Source organism: Homo sapiens, chromosome 8 (genome assembly GCF_000001405.40).
Source record: "Homo sapiens chromosome 8, GRCh38.p14 Primary Assembly".
Lineage (NCBI taxonomy): Eukaryota > Metazoa > Chordata > Mammalia > Primates > Hominidae > Homo > Homo sapiens.
In genome coordinates, this window is record NC_000008.11 from 39,106,935 (window position 1) to 39,127,831 (window position 20,897).

General features: G+C 39.9%; 1 protein-coding gene across 10 annotated transcripts in view; it reads left to right on the forward strand.

Moving 5' to 3' along the window:
- The window catches only part of ADAM32 (ADAM metallopeptidase domain 32), a 177,389-nt gene continuing 157,086 nt past the window's right edge, over positions 595–20,897 (forward strand). For 9 of the 10 annotated variants that reach the window (NM_145004.7, XM_011544433.3, XM_006716298.4 and 6 more), the window contains exons 1-2: positions 800–899; positions 11,152–11,231. In NM_145004.7, coding sequence (NP_659441.4) covers positions 842–899; positions 11,152–11,231 — 138 coding nt within the window. In that variant the 5' untranslated portion in view covers positions 800–841. 10 annotated transcript variants of the gene reach the window in all.

The window sequence follows — 20,897 nt, forward strand, 5'->3', positions numbered from 1 at the left end:
TTCTGAACAATAGAATGACATCACATGAGTTTTAGCCAATGGCCTGCGGAGAACCAGATTGGAGGAAAAAGCCTGGTTGTGAAGTCCATTTGGGCAGCGTCAGTGGGGAAAAAAATGCAGCTGGCGCTCTTCAAAAATATGAAGAGCTGGCATTTCATATTGAAAAGCGGCTCACTTTTCCCTTCTTTGGAATGTTCACACATCTGGCTAAATAGTTTTGAAAAAATATTAGAAACAGGTTTGGCAAATATGAATATATATTTAGGTGTGTATATAGATTTTAATTCAGAAAGTATTACACATTCGCTTTTGAAAGGACCTAGGAAGCCCCGAACGGTGGCAGATGCCTGTAATCCCAGCTACTCAGGAAGTTGAGGAGGGAGGATCACTTGAACCCAGGAGTTCGAGACCAGCCTGGGCAGAATAGTGAGCACCCCCGTCCCAAAAAGAAAAAAAAGCAACTGGGAAGTGTCTGGTGCAGGAGAGCACACGCTGACTGTGAATAAGTGTGTCAGTTCTTAAGGTCCAGCAACACAAAGCGAAAAGTTAGTGGAGGACTACGAGCGCGATCTCGACAGAGGGCGCTGGGTGGTCAGTGGCTCCAGCAACCACGCGGCTGGGGTGCGCCGGGAAGGGAGCTGGATGTTTTAGCCTCGGGGCGCACGCTGCGGGCCCTTCGTGTTCCGGACGCTAAACACCGAGAGCACCCCGTCTCCGGGGCCTCCGGAGAACGCTGTCCCATGAACGTGCGGGGAGCGGCCCCCGGCGTCCGCGCGTCCCCGCGTCCCTGGCAATTCCCGACTTCCCAACGGCTTCCCGCTGGCAGCCCCGAAGCCGCACCATGTTCCGCCTCTGGTTGCTGCTGGCCGGGCTCTGCGGCCTCCTGGCGTCAAGACCCGGTGAGCCAGCCCAGACCCTGACACTAGTCCGGGCGCTCGTCACACTGCGGCCCGACTCCCTGCAAAGCCCGGGGCCCTCCCTGTCTGGGTCCCTTTGGTCCTGTCACCCTGGCAACGGGGCCTTTTCCAGGGGATTAGGCGCCCCGTCCGGATGGAGAAGCGACTCAGGGCCCAGCACCAGGGCTCACGCCTGTAATCCCAGGGCTTTGAGAGACTGAGGCGAGCTGATTGTTTGACCTCGGAGTTGGAGACCAGCTTGGGCAACACAGCAAGACCCCATCTCTACAAAAAAATTTAAAAAAATGTTCCGAGGTGGTGGTGCGCACCTGTGATCCCAGCTACCCGGGAGGCTGAGGGAGGAGGACCACGTGAGTCCAGGAGGTGGAGGCTGCAGTGAGCCAAGATCGCCCCCACTGGACTCCAGCCTGGGCGACAGAGATCCTGTCTTTTTTATAAATTAAAAAAATTATTTTTGTGTGTGACCGAGTCCCTTCTGTCGCCCAGGCTGGAGTGCAGTGGGCAACAGTAGGCAACAGAGGGAGACTCCAGATCGTAGTTCTCCAGAACTATGAGGAAAATAAATTTCTGTTGTTTAAGCCATGCAGTCTACACTATTTTGTTATGGCAGTGGGAGCTGACTAATATAGTACTTAACAGCAAAATGATTGAAAAACTGTAAAAGTTCATTAGTAAGAGAACTGCTAAATAAACTGTGGTTATCTCCAAACAATGCAAATGGACCACTGTGGAGAGGGAGGAAGTAAGACATGCCATGTACTGACTCTGGCTGACAAGATTCAGAATAGTATGTAATAAGAGAAGGAAAAAAATACGGGCATATCCAAACATTTTACTTGCATGTAAGCCTCCCTGGTGATACTGTAAATTTTTGAGAACTCTTCCTACTCTTCTTCCTATCCTGCCATAATTACCTCTGCAGCATAGCAGAGGTGTGGTCAAGGCCAGGGTGTCAGCCTGGTTAGATTAGGGTGAGTGTTCTCTTCCTGGCTTGTAAACAGCTACCTTCTCCCTGCGTACTCACAGGACCTTTTCTTTGTGTACAGGGAAAGACAGGAGGAGGAAATTCTCTGATGTCTCATCTTATAAGGGCATGAATCTCATCATGAGGGTCCCACTCTATGCCTAAAACCCTGATTACCTCCCAAAGGCCATAACCAAATACTGTCACATTGGGGGTTAGGGATTCAACATAGAATTTTGTGGGATACATTCAGTTCATAACACATACAAAATTTTAATGCAGTGGTTGTCAAAGTTTTTGGGTTCAGAACTGCCTTATACATGAACAATTTTTGAGATTCTCAAAGAGCTTTTGTTTATGTGGATTTATATCGATGTTTAACATATTAGAAATTAAAATAGAAATGTAAGAATGTGTATTTCATTCATTAAAAATAAAAGTAACGGCCAGGCGTGGTGGCTCACGCCTGTAATCCCAGCACTTTGGGAGGCTGAGGCAGGTGGATCACCTGAGTGAGGTCAGGAGTTTGAAATCAGCCTGGCCAACATGGTGAAACCCCATTGCTACTAAAATACAAAAAAATTAGCTGGGCGTGGTGGTGCGTGCCTGTAATCCCAGCTACTCGGGAAGCTGAGGCAGGAGAATCGGTTGAACCCAGGAGGCAGGAGTTGCAGTGAGCTGAGATGGCACCATCGCACTCCAGCCTGGGTGACAAGAGCAAAACTCCATCTCAAAAAATAAAATAAAAAAAAAATATTAATGAACATTATTTTTTAGAGTACGTTTAGGTTCATAGCAAAATTGAGCTGAAAGAGTTCCCATATAGCCCCTGATCCCAAATATGAACAGCTTCTCCCACTATCAACATCTGGCACCATGGGATCCATTTGTTACAATTGAGCCTACACTGACACATTGTTATCATCCAAAGTCCACAGTTTGTTTGCATTAGGGTTCATTCTCCACATTGCCCATTCTATGGTTTTGACAAATGTACAATGACATGCATCCACCATTGTAGTATTATACAGAATAGTTTCACTGCCCTACAAATCCCATGTGTTCTGCTTATTTATCCCTCCCTCCCCACTGCCCCTGGCAACAACTCATCTCCTTAGTCTTCTTAGTTTTGCCTTTTCCAGAGTGTCATGTATTTGAAATCATATGTAGCCATTTTGGATGGACTTTTTTTTTACTTAATAATATGCATTTAAGGTTCTCCCATGCCTTTTCATGGCTTGATAGCTTATTTACTTACTTAATTGTTTTTTTGAGATGGTGTCTTACTCTGTCGCCCAGGCTGGAGTGCAGTGGCAGGATCTTGGCTCACTGCAAACTCCGCCTCCCGGTTCAAGCAATTTTCCTGCCTCAGCCTCCCAAATAGCTGGGATTACAGGTGCCTGCTACCATGCCCAGCTAATTTTTTTGTATTTTTAGTAGAGATGGGGTTTCACTGTGTTGACCAGGCTGGTTTCGAACTCCTGACTTCAAGTGATCCACCCACCTTGGCCTCCCAAAGTGCTAGGATTACAGGCATGAGCCGCTGCACCCGGCCGCTTTTTTATTTTTAGTGCTGAATAATATTCAATTGTCTGGATCTACCACAGTTTATTTATCCATTTACCTACCAAATGACATCTTGGTTGCTTCTAAGCTTTGGCAGTTATGAATAAAGCTGCTATAAACATCTATGTGCAGGTTTTTGTGTGGACATAAGTTTTCAACTCATTTGGGTAAATACCAAGAAATGCTATTGCTGAATCATATGATAAGAGTATATTTAGTTTTTAAAGAAACTGCCAAGCTGTCTTCCAAAGTGGCTGTACCATTTGCATTCACCCCAGCAATGAATGAGAACTTCTTTTATTAATGCTGTCATATTATAAATTATATGCATAACTACAAGTGCAAGAAATCCTGGCTGTCTTTTTTATTATAACTCAGAAGAGAGAATTTAAACTTTCAAATGAAAATGCCAGCTCCAAACTGCTGATGGTCCCATCAGCTGAGGGATCTTGCTCAGCAATTTGGGGATGGCATTTTCACATTAAGCAGTCACTCCTCATGTCCTCCTGCTTCCAGCCCCTGGCAGCCACTGATCTGCTTTGGATTTATCTGGCAGCCACTGTCCCTTTGGATTTATCTATTCTGGGTATTTCGTATAAATGGAATCATACAAAATATGACCTTTTTTGTCTGGCTTAATTCACTTGCATAATGTTTTCAAGGTTCGTCTCTGTTGTAGAATGCATTAGAACTTCATTCCTTTTTGTGACTGAATAATATTTCATTGTATATATTCACCCGTTTGTTTACTGATTCATCAGTTGATGGACATTTGATTGTTTCCAACTTTTGGCTGTTAGGAGTAATGCTGCTAGGAACCTTCATGTACCAGTTTTTGTGTGGACATATGTTTTCATTTCTCTTGGATATGTACTTACAAAGAAACTGTTAGGCTCAGTGGTATAGGTATGTCCATTTCCTCTTCTGGACTTTGTTATCCCCCAATAATGAGTTGGCTATTCTGGGTCTTTTACCTCCTCATGTAAACAGTAGAATATGTTGGTTGATATCCACAAAATAGCTTGCTTAGATTTTGATTAGGATAGTCTTGACATAGAACAAATTGGGAAGAGGCTGGGAATGGTGGCTTATGCTTGTAATCCCAGCACTTTGGGAGGCCAAGGTGGGTGGATCACTTGAGGCCAGGAGTTCAGGACCAGCCTGGCCATGGTGAAACCCCATCTCTACTAAAAAAAATACAAAAATTAGCTGATTGTGGTGGCACATGCCTGTAATCCCAGCTGAGGCAGAATTGCTTGAACCTGCGAGGTGGAGGTTGCAGTGAGCCAATATCGCACCTCTGCACTCCAGCCTGGGCAACAGAGCAAGACTCTTTCTCAAAAAAAAAAAAAAAAAAAAAAGGAAAAAAAAAAAGAACAAGTTGGGAAAAGCTGACATCCGATGGAGTGGCAGTGACTACCTACCATGTTTTGTTGAAAATGATTCTGAGGCTTTGCCTAAATTTGATGTAAAAGCTATGATACCTGCTAGATTTTTGAAGTGACATACGCATTTATGTATCAGTCTTTTCCTAAGGTGGGATAGTTGAGGCCAAATTTGGCTTTACATCAGAATAATCTCTGGATATTTATAAACATATATATTTCTGGATCAAAATCCTGGAACTTTAAAAATAATTATAAACTTGTTAATAATTTTTATTTAGTAATATGTGATTACATTCAAAATGAAGTAAAAGAGGCTACCCTATATGTTACCATCTTTCCTGATTGTCAATTTTACTATATTTTTAAAGAAAACGACTATGTTTAACAGTTTGATGGTACTCTTCTGGACTTTTCTCTAGACACTTAGATATAAATATGTGTAAATGTAGACATATACGGTCCTTTTGAAGTAAATTATAAATGACAAAAGCATATTGTATAAATTTATGTATGTCATCTATTTTTAATATATTTTGGATATTAATCATTTTATTTTTTCTATATCTTGCACAAGTTTTCTTCAATGTGTTATTGATCTTTTCACTTGTGATATCCTGATTTTTGTACTAAGTTTATCAACACTTTCTTATGGCTTCTGCATTTTGTTTTCCGTATTAAGGCTTCCCTTGGTACAATGATTAAAACAAATAGTTTCCCATACTTTCTTAAAGTTATTTTACAACTTTAGACAACGTAGCCTTTCAGTCTTTCTAATAGTTTTGTAACTTTGTACATGAAGTCTTGTAATCCACACTGTGGTGCTAGATAGGAAACTATATTTGTATTTTTCCAAATGGATAAATACTGATATTACATCATTCCCCCATTCATTTGAAATGCCACATTTAGTAGATGTTAAACTATCACCACCCCCTTGCCCCCAAAGTACACAGGTAGGTCTCACTTAGAGACCTGTCATGAGACTGAGGATACACTGAAAGGGTTTAAATAAAGAGAGTTTAGCTATGGGACTATCTATAGAGATGTGGGCATCAATAATTAACGATGAAACGCACAGACTAGTAACAGTAGAAAGCCATATCACATGTGTTGAATTGATTGTTTGCAAAGATGACAATGGCCTTAACACTTCCTCCATCCCTGTGTGTGCTTCCATTTTGCAACATTTCTTTGTCATTCCTCCCATTGAGAGGTAGAATGTATTTCTTCACTCTCTGAATCTGGTTGGCCTCATTACTTGCTCTGGCCATTTGAATGTGGTAGAAATGAGTTGTGAGACTTCCAAGTCTATGCCTCAAGAGGCTTTGCAGCTTCCTCTCTGCTCTCTTGAAGCACTGTCTTGACTGCTACATGAAGAATCCTAGACTAGGACGATAAGAGGATGTGTGAAACAGAGATGACTCAACCTAGGCCGTTCAGTCAAAAGACATGAATGGGGTCGTCTTAGTCTCTCCAGGCCTAGGCGAGCTGCCAGATGACTGCAGCCACATGAGTAACATTATGAGTGTCAGTGCAGTGGGTACTGCAGGGTGTCCTGTGTCATAACACTGAAGCAGGGCAGTGCCATCTATATCTTGAACTTGCTGCAGATTCTTCTCTTGCGCTGGGTCCAAGTCAATTTTGACAGTTTTACCAGTCACCCGATGAATGATTCAGGCTCTCACACCCCAAAACAGTATGTATTATCTCTGAATTCAAAAACTCAAAACGGCCTGCCACTCGTTGTGACTCTTTTTTTTTGTGGTGGACTATGCAAGGTGTAGCCACTAGCATCTCACTTTGTACAGGATATCTCAGCATGCTGCAACCACTGGACCCCAAGAAACTTTGGGGTTGTAACTATCCCTTAACCTCCATAGGTTCTTCTACCACATTCTGGCATGCATGTATCTTACTGAAACATCTAGGGCACTTGCTACTTCTTGCTCACTAAATATATAAGCATGATGTCTTTCACATCATGCAACTTGACCAGCATGATGTTCTAATGGGAAATCAAAACGGTCAGTGTCCCTCTGAGCTACGACAGGACAGTTGACAGCTTGAAGGGAAGGTGGTGAAAATAGTATTATTGTTCTTGTCAGATGAAGGCATTTGTCACCATTGCTGATTGGAATTGAAAATAACATTTTCCAGGTCAATAACTGCATATTAGGTATTAGGAGACGTGTTGATTTTTTTCAACAAATCAACACATTGGAATCTATATTTTTTTCACTAATCAACTATAATTTCACATGAACTAACTAATGAGACTTTAATTTCAACGAGCTAGTTCATTTCACAAAATCTATAACTTCGTTCACCATTGATGGATCCAGGTCACAATTTATCCCTTGATCTATATAAGTCCCTATTCTGATCAATGGACCATGCTGGTATTTTGAGTCCTCAGGATTAGTGTCAGTTCAGAGTCAGTAAATAATACTCCCTGAAAGTCTGGCTATTTCCCCTCCCCTGGGCATAGTCATCATGGTAAAAGGACACAGGACACTATGGAGGAGTCTGCAGGGGAAGATTCGCAGCACATTCCTGTGGTTGCATGGCAAGGTCCTTCCTAAAGAGGACTCCCTCACTCCTTAATGAAAAGGCTGCAAGCCTCTGAACTGGGTCAGGTGTAGGAACCAGGGAAGAGGCTGTGAGTCCTCGTGGTGATTGCATCAGTTTCTGCGCACCACAAGCTAGAATTTTCTTGACTAGACTGCTCATCTAGTTCATTCCTAGGGACTCTGTGATCAGTTAGATACTACCAAGGATCTCTGTAGGTGAAAGCATTTTGTTTTTCACTCTGTCCTTGTGGCTTCTTCTGGTAATTGTGCTCACCTGTCTCTGAGAGTCAATTGTCTGCCACTTCAGAATTCCCTGATTCCCAGTCAAAGCAAGGAATCATGTTTAAAAATTTTTTTCATAAGTTTTATTTTATTTTTTCTTCCAACTTTAATTTTAGGTTTGGAGGTACATGTGCAGGTTTGTTACATGGGTAAATTGCGTGTCACTGGGGTTCTATGTACAAATGATTTCATTACTCAGGTAGTGAGCACAGTATCTGAGAAGTAGTTTTTCAGTCCTCTCCCTCCTCCCATCCTCCACCTTCAAGTAAGTTCTGGTTCTATTGTGCCCCTCTTTGCATCCATGTGTACTCAATGTTTAGCCTCCGCTCATAAGTGAGAATATGTGGTATTTGGTTTTCTGTTCCTGTGTTAATTTGTTTAGGATAGTGGCCTCCAGCTGCAACCATGTGGCTGCAAAGGACGTGATTTCATTTTTTTATGGCTGTATAGTATTCCATGGTGTATATACACAACATTTTCTTTATCCAGTCCACCACTGATGGATGTCTAGGTTGATTCCATGTCTTTGCTATTGTGAAAAGTGCTGCAATGAATATACGTGTGCATGTGTCTTCATGGTAGAATGATTTATATTCCCTTGGGTATATACTCAGTAATGGGACTTCTGGGTAAAATGGGAGTTCTCTTTTAGGTTCCTTGAGAAATCACACTGCTGGGTAAAATGGGAGTTCTCTTTTAGGTTCCTTGAGAAATCACACTGCTTTCCACAGTGGTTGAACTAACTTACATTCTCCCCAGCAGTGTATAAGCATTCTCTTTCCTCTGCAACCTTGCCAACACCTATTATTTTTTGACTTTTTAATAAGTCATTCTGATTGGTGTGACATGATATGTCACTGTTGTTTTGACTTTCATTTTTCTAATGATAAGTTTTTCATATGCTTCTTGGCCACATGTATGTTTTATTTTGAGAAGTGTCCATGTCATTGGCCCATTTTTTAATGGGTTTTTTTTTTTTTGCTTGTTGAATTGTTTAAGCTCCTTATTGAGTCCAGATATTAGACCTTTGTTGGCATAGTTTGTTGATATTTTCTGCATTCTGCAGGTTGCCTATTTACTTGGTTGGTAATTTCTTTTGCTGTGCAGAAGCTCTTTAGTTTAATGAAGTCCCACTTCTCAATTTTTGTTTTTGTTGAAATTGCTTTTGGAGTCTTCATCATGAAACCTTTGCCAAGACAAAGATGTCTAGAATGGCATGTCCTGGGTTTTCTTCTAAGGCATTTATAGTTTTAAGTTGTACATTTAGGTCTTTAATCCATCTTGCATTGGTTATTGAATATGGCAAAAGGTTCAGTTGCAGTCTTCTGCATATGAGTAGCCAGTTATCCCGGCACCATTTATTGGATAGAGAGTCCTTTCTCCATTGCTTGTTATTGTTAACTGTCAAAGATCAGATGGTTATAGGTGTGTGGCTTTATTTCTGAGTTTTCTAACCTGTTCCATTGGTCTATGTGTTTGTTTTTGTACCAGTACCATGCTGTTTTGGTTACTGTAGCCTTGTAGTATAGTTTGAAGACAGGTAGTGTGAGACCTCTTGCTTTCTTCTTTTTGCTTAGGATTGCTTTGGCTCTTTGGGCTCTTTTATGGTTCCATATGAATTTTAGAATAGTTTTTTCTAATTCTGTGAAAAACTGACATTGGTGGTTTGATAGAAGTAGCACTGAATCTGTAAATTGCTTTGAGCAGTATGGGCCTTTTAACAACGTTGATTCTTCCTATCCATGAGTATGGAATGTTTTTTCATTTGTTTATGTCATCTCTGATTTCTTTGAGCAGTGTTTTGTAGTTCTCCTTGTAGAGATCTTTCACCTCCATGGTTAGCTGTATTCCTAGGTATTTTGTTCTTTTTGTGGCTATTCTGGATGGGATCCTGTTCTTATTTTGGCTCTTGGCTTGGCTGTTGCTGGTGTATAGAAATGCTAGTGATTTTTGTACATTGATTTTGTATCCTGAAACTTTACTGAAGTTGCTTATCAGATCTAGGAGCCTTTGGGCAGAAACTATAGGGTTTTCTAGGTGTAGAATCATATCGTCTGTGAAGAGAGAGAGTTTGACTTCCTCTCTTCCTATTCGGATGCCTTTTATTTCTTTCTCTTGCCTGATTGCTCTGGCTAGGACTTCTAGCGCTATGTTGAATGGGAGTGGTGAGAGTGGGCATCCTTGTCTTGTTCCAGTTCTTAGAGAAAAGGCTTTCAACTTTTCCCCATTCAGTATGATGTTAGTTGTGGCATTTAATGATTATGGTTACTTTTTTTTTTTGAGACAGAGTCTTTCTCTGTTGCCCAGGCTGTAGTGCAGTGGTGTGATCTTGGCTCACTGTAATCTCTGCCTCCTGGGTTCAAGCGATTCTCCTGCCTCAGCCTCCGGAGTAGCTGGGACTACATGCACATGCCACCATGCCCGGCCAATGTTTGTATTTTCAGTAGAGACGGGGTTTCACTATGTTGGCCAGGCTGATCTGGAACTCCTGACCTTGTGATCCACCTGCCTTGGCCTCCCAAAGTGCTGGGATTACAGGCATGAGCCACCATGCCCGGCCCTGTTAAGCAGATTTAAGGAAATCAGTATGCTTATGTGATCTTCCTCTTCTTCTGCTACAGTTCCTGAAGTTGTATATATTATGTTTATGTAACCAGAGCTTTTAACATTTGCATCTGTTATGTAACTGTGATTCCCACAGTTGTTTTAGCCTTTAGTCTATATTTAAGATTTTTTTTTCTCACTGTTAGGCATTTTACCACAACTCTGCTGATATTTTTATTGGGAGAAATGTCTCTGACTTTTGTGGTAGACACATGTGAACTTTTTTTTTTTGAGTTTTGCTTGTAAATATCTATCTTCTGACTTTATATTTAATGGCCTTTTTGCTGGGTATACATTTATAGGGTCTTCACTGTCTTTTCTTAAAGTTCTTTTTTAGACATTGTTCTTTAGTCTTTTAACATTAAATACTGTGGTAAAAATTCTCAAGCCAGCCTGCTTATCTCCCCTTATACATAACATGATTTTCTTTTTTTTTCTTTCTATCATATTTTCAAGGAATTCTTTATCTTGGAAACCCAACAATTTCAGTAGAATATGTTTTAGTTTAAAGTAATGATTAGTTATTCCTGAAATACAGTATACTTTCTAGTCTATTGTTTTGAATCTTTTATTTCAGGAAAAAGTTTTTGAAGTATGTCTTTGATTTTTTTGGTGTGTATTTTCTATTTTCTTCAGAACCACACATTTTGTGCGAGCTGCATACCTCTTCCCTTCTCCTTTTTTGTTCTTTCATAAGTATCTTGTCTGTTTTTCAAATTAAGTGTTTTCAAGCTTTTTATAGAAGTACACAGTGATGAGCCACCCATACCTGCACAAGTAAACTTTATGAAAGAAACTGAACAGATATTTAATCAAATTAAGGCAAGGTTACTAACTTTTTTTTTTTTTTATCTCTTCAGGTTTTCAAAATTCACTTCTACAGATCGTAATTCCAGAGAAAATCCAAACAAATACAAATGACAGTTCAGAAATAGAATATGTAAGAGATATTTTTTCACAATCTAAATGTTTATATGAAATTTCATATTTTTATTATATAGCTATGAAATATGTCAAGCCCATTTTAATATGAATATAATGTCTCTTGTATTTCTACTGATAGGAATTAAAAGCTTTGATGGTAAAAGCAAATAGGTAAATTAGAATGTTCTGTATTTTTTTAATGTTTGTCATTTTCTTATGGTAAATTATTTTTAAAAGTTTACATATAGAAGAGAATGTAGAATTAAGTGTTTTATCTGAGTGATATCTAGGACATCAGCACAAAGAGAATAATTTTCTCCAAAATGTCTAAGACAATTTCTTTTAACTAAAGCCTGTTTCTCAATCTCCACCCCTACACCTAGCAATTCTCAGACGAGAAGAAACATTTCATTCTACTATTTTTATTAGAAAGGGAAATACTTTATTTTGTTCATTGATTTATTTAGCAACTATTTCTCTAGACTTGCCATGTGCATACCTATATGCCAGGTGTCTTAGGAGATTTAAAAAAAAGAAATATAATTAAGCAAGCTTTGCTTATAAGTGACCAATCTTTTGGTAACATTCTATTTTTAGCAGTTTTGTTGAGGTGCAATTTACAACACCATAGAGTTCACCCATTTTAAGGGTACAACTCAACAATTATTACAGCAGTACATAAATAGAATTGTGCAAACATTACCACAGTCCAGTTGTAGAATGTTGCTATCAATCCTAAAAAGATCCCTTATGCACATTTGTAGTTCTTCTCCAGCCCTTGGCAACCGCTGATCTGTTGTCTATCTCTATGTATTTGCCTCTTTAGGGGCATTTTATATAAATGGCAGCATGCAATATGTAAGCTTTTGTATTAGACTTTTTTCACTTAGGATTATCCATTTTGTAGCATTTATCAGGTTATTAATTTTTATATCTTATATGTGGATATACCACATTTTGCTTATCCATTCTCATTCTCCAGTTGATGGACTTTGGATTGTTTTCTGATATTGAGTATTATGAATAATTCTTTTATGAACATTCATGTATGGACATATATTTTCCCTTGGGTAGATTCTTAGGAGTGAAATTGCTGGGCACATGATAAGTTTGTGTTTAACATTTTTAGAAACTGCTACACTGTTTTCCATAGTGACTGTACCAATTTACATGTCACATCAGCAATTTTTGAGTGTTCCAGTTTTTTCACATACTTGTGAACATTTGATGTTTTCTGTCTTTCAGATTAAAGCTATTGTAGTGGGAGTGTAGTGGTATGTAATTGTGGCTTCAATTTGCATTTCTTTAATGAATAATTATGCTGAGTATTTTTCATGAGCCTAATAGCCATTTATATGCCTTTTCTGTGGAATGTCTACTCAAATTATTCTCCTGTTTTAAAATTTAGTTGTTTATTTATTTTTGAGTTCTATGAATTCATTATATATTCTGGACACAACTTCTCTATTTGGAATTATTTTCTCCCAATTTCTGGCTTGCTTTTTCATTTTTCTCAGTGGTGTTTTCTCAAACACAAACATTTTCAATTTTGATGACATTCAGTTTATCAAATTTTCTTTTTATGGATCTTGTTTTTGGTTTTGTATCTAAGAACTCTGTTATGGACTGAACTGTGGCCCCTCAAAATTCATATGTTGAATCCCTAACCCCTAATGTGACTATATTTGGAGATAGGGCCTTATGGAGGTAATTAAGGTTACATGAGGTCAAGGGCCTTATGGAGGTAATTAAGGTTATATGCTGTCACAAGGGTAGGGCTTTAATTAATCTAATAGGACTGATGTACTTATAAGAAGAGGAAATATACTAGGGGTTCATGCATACAAACTGAAGGTCATGAAAGGATACAACAAGAAGGCAGCTGTCTGCAAGCCAAGAGGAGAGGCCTCACCAGAAATCAGCCCTGTTGGCACCTTGATCTTGGACTTCCAGCCTCCAGAACTGTGAGAAAATACATTTTTGTTGGTTAAGCCACCTTGTCTGTGGCATTTTGTTTGGGTAGCTTGAGCAGAGTAATCCGATTTTGGTATTGTGAAGTGGGGTGCTGCTGTAACAAATACCTAAAAATGTTGAAGTGGATTTGGAACTGAGTGAAGGGTAGAGGCTAGAAGACTGGTGAAGTACATGCTAAGAAGAAGCCTAGATTGCCTTGAAGGGACTGTTGGTAGAAATATGGATGCTAAAGGTAATTCTAATGAAGGATCAGAAAGAAAAGACTTATAGAGAAAGCTTTTATCGTCTTAGGGAATATACATATCATTATGAACAGAATAGAACTGGTAGAAATATGAACATTAAAGGTGTTCCTGGGCCGGGCACGGTGGCTCACACCTGTAATCCTAGCACTTTGGGAGGCTGACGTGGGCAGATTACCTGAGGTCAGGAGTTCAAGACCAACCTGGGTAACATGGTGAAACCCTGTCTCTACTAAAAATACAAAAATTAGCTGGACGTGGTGGCAGGCACCTGTAGTCCCAGCTACTCGGGAGACTGAGGCAGGAGAATTGCTTGAACCCAGGAGGCAGAGGTTGCAGTGAGCCGAGATTGGGCCACTGCACATTAGCCTGGGTGACAGAGCAAGACTCCGTCTCAAAAAAAAAAAAAAAAAAAGTGTTTCTAGTGAGGTCACAGATAGAAATGAGAAATGTTATTGGAGACTGGAGGAAAGGAGATCCTTGTTAAAAAGTGGCAAAGAACTTGGCTGAATTGTGTTCTAGTCTTTTGTAGAAGGTAGAAATTGTGGGGGAAAACCTTGGGTATTTAGCTGGGGAGATTTCTAAGCAAAATGCTGAAGATGTGGCTTGTTTTGTCATCACTGCTTATAGAAAATGCAAAATGCAAGAGAAGAGAGGTAAATGGAAGGAATTATTTAGCAAAAAGGAACAAGAACTTGAAGATTTGAGAAATTTTCAGCCTACTTTGTATTTTTTAAAATGAGAAATGATGTTTTAGAAAGAACACCAAAGGTGTAGCTGGACAATCAGACAATAAAAAGATTCCTCATGATTTAATCCGCCATGTCAAGTGAAGCCAGGATCAGAGACGGGATTACATCAGCAGAAACACTGCCAGCTGGAACTAAAGGGAACAGAGAAAATTGGATAGAATGAAGGAAGGCTGTTTAACTTCTGGGATTCTACAGGATAGGACGATAGAGTTGTCTGGCTTCAAACATGCATCATTCTTCACAAACACCGCATGTTCTCACTCATAAGTAGGAGTCGAGCAATGAGAACACATGGACACAGGGAGGGGAACATCACACACTGGGGCCAGTCGGGGGGTGGAGGGCTAGGGGAGGGAGAGCATTAGGAGAAATATCTAATGTAGATGACGGGTTGATGGGTGCAGCAAACCACCATGGCACGTGCATACCTATGTAACAAACCTGCATGTTCTGCACATGTACTCCAGAACTTGAAGTATAATAAAAAAAGAAAAAGAGAAGAATGACCCTGAAAGCAATTCAGAGATCATCAGGGCTGCCACTCCTGCTACAGGCCCAGGAGGCAAGGCTGCATTCTCTTTGGTTTCAGAGAGTGGGGCCACCTCCTTGGTTTCAGTAGTCTAGGATGTCACTGTTTATTACCCCAGGAACAAGGCTGTCACCCAGAGCTGTGGGGGCAGAGCCGCTTTACAGAGCTGAGGGGATGGGGCCAGTCCCTAGGGCCATGGGAGAGTTGCTGTCCAAGTGGGCCCAGCAGGGTAGAGCATCCTGTCAAAGAAGAGTATTCTTGAACCTTAAGATCTAACGGAATTTGTCTTGCTAGGTTTTGGACTTTGTTGGGATTGTCACCCCTTTCTTTTTTTCTGGTTTCTCCTTGTTGGCATGGGAATAGCTATTCTATGCCTGTTCTACTATTGTATTTTGGAAGCACATAACTTGTCTGGTTTCACAGGTTCACAACTGGAGAGGAATTTTGCCTCAGGATGAGTCATAACTTGTATCTCAACCATACCTGATTTAAGTGACATTTAGATGAAATTTTGAACTTGGAATTGATGCTAGAATGAGTTAAGGCTTTGGGGCTTTTCCATGCAAGAAGGAAATGAATTTGGGGGGCGCACCATAGGGAAGAATGTTATGAATTGAATTGTGTCCCCCGCCAAATCCATATGTTGAAAACCAAACTCCCAGTATGGAGATAGGACCTTTAAGGAGATAGAGTTAAATGTGATCATAGAGGTGTGACCTTAATCTGATTGGACTGGTGTCCTTATAAGAAGAGGAAGAGATACAAGAGGTCCTTGTCTGTCTCCATGCATACACAGAAAAAAGGCCATGTGAGAACATAGTGAGAAAAGAGCTACCTACACGCCGTAAAGAGAGGCCTCACCAGAAACCAACCTGCTAGCATATTTATCTTGGATTTCTAACATCCAGAACTGTGAGAAAATAACATTTCTGTTTTTGTTTTTGTTTTGAGACAGAGTCTTCCTCTGTTGTCTAGGCTGGAGTGCAGTGGTGCTATCTTGGCTCACTGCAACCTCTGACTCCCAGGTTCAAGCAATTCTCATGCATCAGCCTCCCAAGTAGCTGGAATTACAGGCATGTGCCACCACGCTTGGCTATTTTTTGGTAGAGATGGGGTTTTGCCATGTTGGCCAGGCTAGTCTTGAACTCCTGACCTCAAGTGGTCTGCCTACCTTGGCCTCCCAAAGTGTTGGGATTACAGGCATGAGCCACCACACCTGGTCCTAAAATTTCTGTTGTTAATGTCACCATGCCTGTAATATTTTATTATGGCAGCCTAAGCAGACTAATGTAAGGTCTTTACCTAACCCAAGCTCACAAAGATTTTCTTCTGTGTTTTCTACTAGCTCATAGTCTATGAGCCAATTTGAGTAAACTTTTGTATATGGTGTGAGGTCAGGATATAAGTTCAGTTTTTTTTGCCTGTGGATCCAACTTTCCCAGCACTGTTTGTAGAAAAGACTATACTTTCCCCACTGAATTGTTTTGATACCTTTGTAGATCAAGTAAATAAAAATGTAAAGGTTTATTTCTGGACTTTCATGTCTTTGCCATTTATCTAGCTGGCTTTCTTTGCACCAAGATCTCATTGCTTTGATTATTGTGCATTTTAGGGCAAGATTTGGAATTGGGTAGTGTAAATCCTTCATTATTCATCTTTTCCAAAATTGCTTTGACTATTCTAAGTCCTTTTTATTTCCATATATATTTTTAGAACAACTAAAAATACCTCTATGATCACATTTAACTCTATCTCCTTAAAGGTCCTGTCTCCACACTGGGGGTTTGGTTTTCAACATATGGATTTGGTCGGGGGGCACAATTCAATCCATAACATTCTTCCTTGTGGTTCCCTCCAAATTCATTTCCCATATTGCATGCTCATTTTTACAAGAAAAACTGCTTGGATTTTGATAGAGATTACATTTAATATGTATCGATTAATTTGGGAGAATTGCTCTTTTTACAATATTGAGTGCTCTGATCTATGAACATGTATGATACTTTCATTTATTTAGAGCTTTAATTTCTGTCATTAAAGTTTGGTAATTTTCTTTCCTTTTTTTTTTTTTTTTGTTTGAGTTGGAGTCTCACTCTGTCTCCCAGGCTAGAGTGCAGTGGCGCGATCTTGGCTCACTGCAACCTCTGCCTCCTGCGTTCAAGTGATTCTCCTACCTCAGCCTCCCAGGTAGCTGGGATTACAGGCACACGCCATGACACCCAGCTAATTTTTGTATTTTTAGTAGAGACGGGGTTTCGCCATGTTGGCCAGGCTGGTCTTGATGTCCTGACCTCAGGTGATCCACCTCCGTCAGCCTCTCAAAGTGCTGGGATTACAGGCATGAGCCACTGTGCCTGGCCTTCTTTTTTTTTTTTTCTTTAACATTTATTTTAAGTTCAGGGGTGCATGTACAGGTTGTGCAGGTTTGTTATATAGGTAAATGTGTGCCATGGTGGGTTGCTGCACATATCATCCCATCACCTAGGTATAAGCTCAGCATCCGTTAGCTATACTTCCTAATGCTCTCCCTCCCCCAGCTCTCTGACAGGGCCCATTGTGTGTTTTTCCCCACTATGCGTCCATATGTTCTCATCATTCAGCTCCCACTTATAAGTGAGAATGGGCAGTGTTTGGTTTTCTGTTCCTGCATTAGTTTGCTGAGGATAATGGATTCCAACTCTATCCATGTCTCTGCAAAGGACATGATCTTGTTCCTTTTTATGACTGCATAGTATTCCATGGTATAGATTTACCACATTTTCTTTTTCTTTTTTTTTTTTTTTATTTTTGAGACGGAGTCTTGCTCTGTCGACCAGGCTGGAGTGCAGTGATGTGATCTCTGCTCACTGCAAGCTCCACCTCCCGGGTTCATGCCATTCTCCTGCCTCAGCCTCCCGAGTAGCTGGGACTACAGGCACCTGCCATCATGCCCAGCTAATTTTTGTATTTTTAGTAAAGACGGGGTTTCACCGTGTTAGCCAGGATGGTCTTGATCTCCTGACCTTGTGATCCACCGCCTTGGCCTCCCAAAGTGCTGAGATTACAGGCATAAGCCACCGCGCCCAGCCAATATACTACATTTTCTTTATCCAGTCTATTGTTGATGGGCATTTGGGTTGCTTCCATGTCTTTGCTATTGTGAATACTGCTGCAATAAACATACATGTGTATGTATCTTTACAATGGAATAGTTTATATTCCTTTGGTTATATACCCAGTAAAGGGATTGCTAGGTCAAATGGTATTTCTGCCTCTAGGTCTTTGAGGAATTGCCACACTGTCTTCCACAATGGTTGAACTAATTTACATTCCCCCCAACAGTGTAAAAGTGTTCTTTTTTCTCTGCAACATTGCCAGTATCTGTTGTTTTATGACTTTTTAATAATCACCATTCTAACTAGTGTAAGATAGTATCTGATTGTGGTTTTGATTTGCGTATCTCAAATGAGCAATGATGTTGAGTTTTTTTCATATGTTTGTTGGCCACATGTATGTCTTCTTTTTGCAAGAGTCTGTTCACATCCTTCGCCCAATTTTTAATGGAGTTTTTTGTTTTTTTCTTATAAATTTGCTTACGTTCCTTGTAAACTCTGGATATTTGTTGTTTGTCAGATCTTAAGATCTAACGGAATTTGTCTTGCTAGGTTTTGGACTTTGTTGGGATTGTCACTCCTTTCTTTTTTTCTGGTTTCTCCTTGTTGGCATGGGAATAGCTATTCTATGCCTGTCCTACTATTGTGTTTTGGAAGCACGTAACTTGTCTGGTTTCACAGGTTCACAACTGGAGAGGAATTTTGCCTCAGGATGAATCATAACTTGAATCTCAACCGTACCTGATTTAAGTGATATTTAGATGGAATTTCGAACTTGGAATTGATGCTAGAATGAGTTCTTCATCCTAGGGGTACTCGATTCTTCATCTGGTAATTTTTAGTGTACAGTGAGTAGATTGCAAAAATTTCTCCCATTCTGTAGGTTGTCTGTTCACTCTGATCATACTTTCTTTTGCCCCACAGAAGCTTTTTAGTTTAATTAGATCCCATTTGTTAATTTTTGTTGCAATTGCTTTTGGTGTTTTCATCATGAAATCTTTATCCATACCTTTGTCCTGAATTGCCTAGATTTTCTTACAGATTTTCTTACTTTGGGTTTTACATTTAAGTCTTTAATCCATCTTGAATTACTTTTTGTATAGGGTATAAGGAAGGAGTCCAGTTTAAATTTTTTGCATATGGTTTGCCAGTTCTCTTAGCACCACTTATTAAATAGGAAATCCTTTCCCCATTGCTTGTGTTTGTCAGGTTTGTCAGAGATCAGATGGTTGTAGGCATGCGGTCTTATTTCTGAGTTCTCTATTCTGTTCCGTTGGTCAATGTGTCTGTTCTTGTACCAGTAACATGCTGTTTTGGTTACTGTAGCCTTGTAGTAGTTTGAGGTCATGTAGCATGATGCCTTCAGCTTCGTTCTTCTTGCTCGAGTTCGGGTCTTGGCTATTTGGGCTCTTTGGGCTCTTTTTTGGTTCCATATGAATCTTAAAATAGTTTTTCTAATTCTATGAAGAATGTCAATGGTAGTGTAATGGAAATAACATGGAATCTATAAATTATTTTTGGTAGGCCATAAATTACCATTTTCATGATATTGATTCTTCCTATCCATGAGCATGGAATGTTTTTCCAGTTGTTTGTGTCCTCTCTGATTTCTTTGAGGAGTGGTTTGTAGTTCTCCTTGAAGAGGTCCTTCACTTCCCTCGTTAGCTGCATTCCTAGGTATTTTATTCTTTCTGTAGCAGTTGTGAATGGGAGTTAATTGATGACTTGGTTCTCTGCTTGCCTATTGTTGGTGTATAGGAATGCTAGTGATTTTTGCACATTGATTTTGTATCCTGATACTTTGCTGAAGTTGCTTATTAGCCTAAGAAGCTTTTGGGCTGAGAGGATGGGGTTTTCTAGATATAGGATCATGTCATCTTAAGGACAGTTTGACTTCCTTTCTTCCTATTTGAACATCCTTTATTTGTTTCTCTTGCCTGATTGCCCTGGCTGGAACTTCCAGTACTGTATTGAATAGGAGTGAGACAGTGCATCCTTGTCTTGTGTCAGTTTGCAAGGGAAAAGCTTCCAGCTTTTGCCCATTTAGTATGATACTGACTGTGGGTTTGTCATATATGGCTCTTATTATTTTGAGGTATGTTCTTTCAATACCTAGTTTACTGAGGGTTTTTAACATGAAGCAATATTGAATTTTATCAAAGGCCTTTTCTGCATCTATTGAGATAATCATGTGGTTTTTGTCTTTAGTTCTGTGTATGTGATGAATCACACTTGTTGATTTGCATATGTTGAACCAACCTTGCATCCTGGGGATGAAGCCTACTTGATCATGGTGGATAAGCTTTTGGATATGCAGGTGGATTCAGTTTGCCAGTATTTTATTCAGGATTTTTGCACTGATTTTCATCAGGGATATTGGCCTGAAGTTTTCTTTTTTTGTTGTATCTCTGTCAGGTTTTGGTATCAGGATGATACTGGCCTCATAAAATGAGTTAGGGAGGAGTCCCTTTCTTTTCAACTGTATAGATAGTTTCAGTAGAAATGGTACCAGCTTTTCTTTGTCTTCTTTTTACCTCTGGTAGAATTCAGCTTTGATTCCATCTGGTCCTGGGATTTTCTTCGTTGGTAGGCTATTTATTTCTGCCTCACTTTCAGAACTTGTTATTGGTCTATTCAGGGATTTAGTTTCTTCCTGGTTCAGTCTTGGGAGGGTGTATGTGGCCAGGAGTTTTTCCATTTCTTCTAGATTTTCTAGTTTATGTGCATAGAGGTGTTTATAGTATTCTCTGATGATTGTTTGTATTTCTGTGGGGTCAATGGTGATATCCCCTGTATCATGTCTGATTGTGTTTGAATCTTCTCTCTTTTTCTTCTTTATTAGTCAAGCTAGTAGTCTATCTATATTATTATTTTTTTCCCCAAAAACCAGCTCCTGGATTTATTGATTTTTTGAAGGATTTTTCATATCTCTATCTCCTTCAGTTCTGCCCTGATTTTGGTTATTTCTTGTCTTCTTCTAGCTTTGGGGTTTGTTTGCTCTTAGTTCTCTAGTTCTTTTTGTTGTGATGTTAGGTTGTTAACTTGAGATCTTTCTAGCTTTTTGATGTGGGCATTTAGTGCTATAAATCTCCC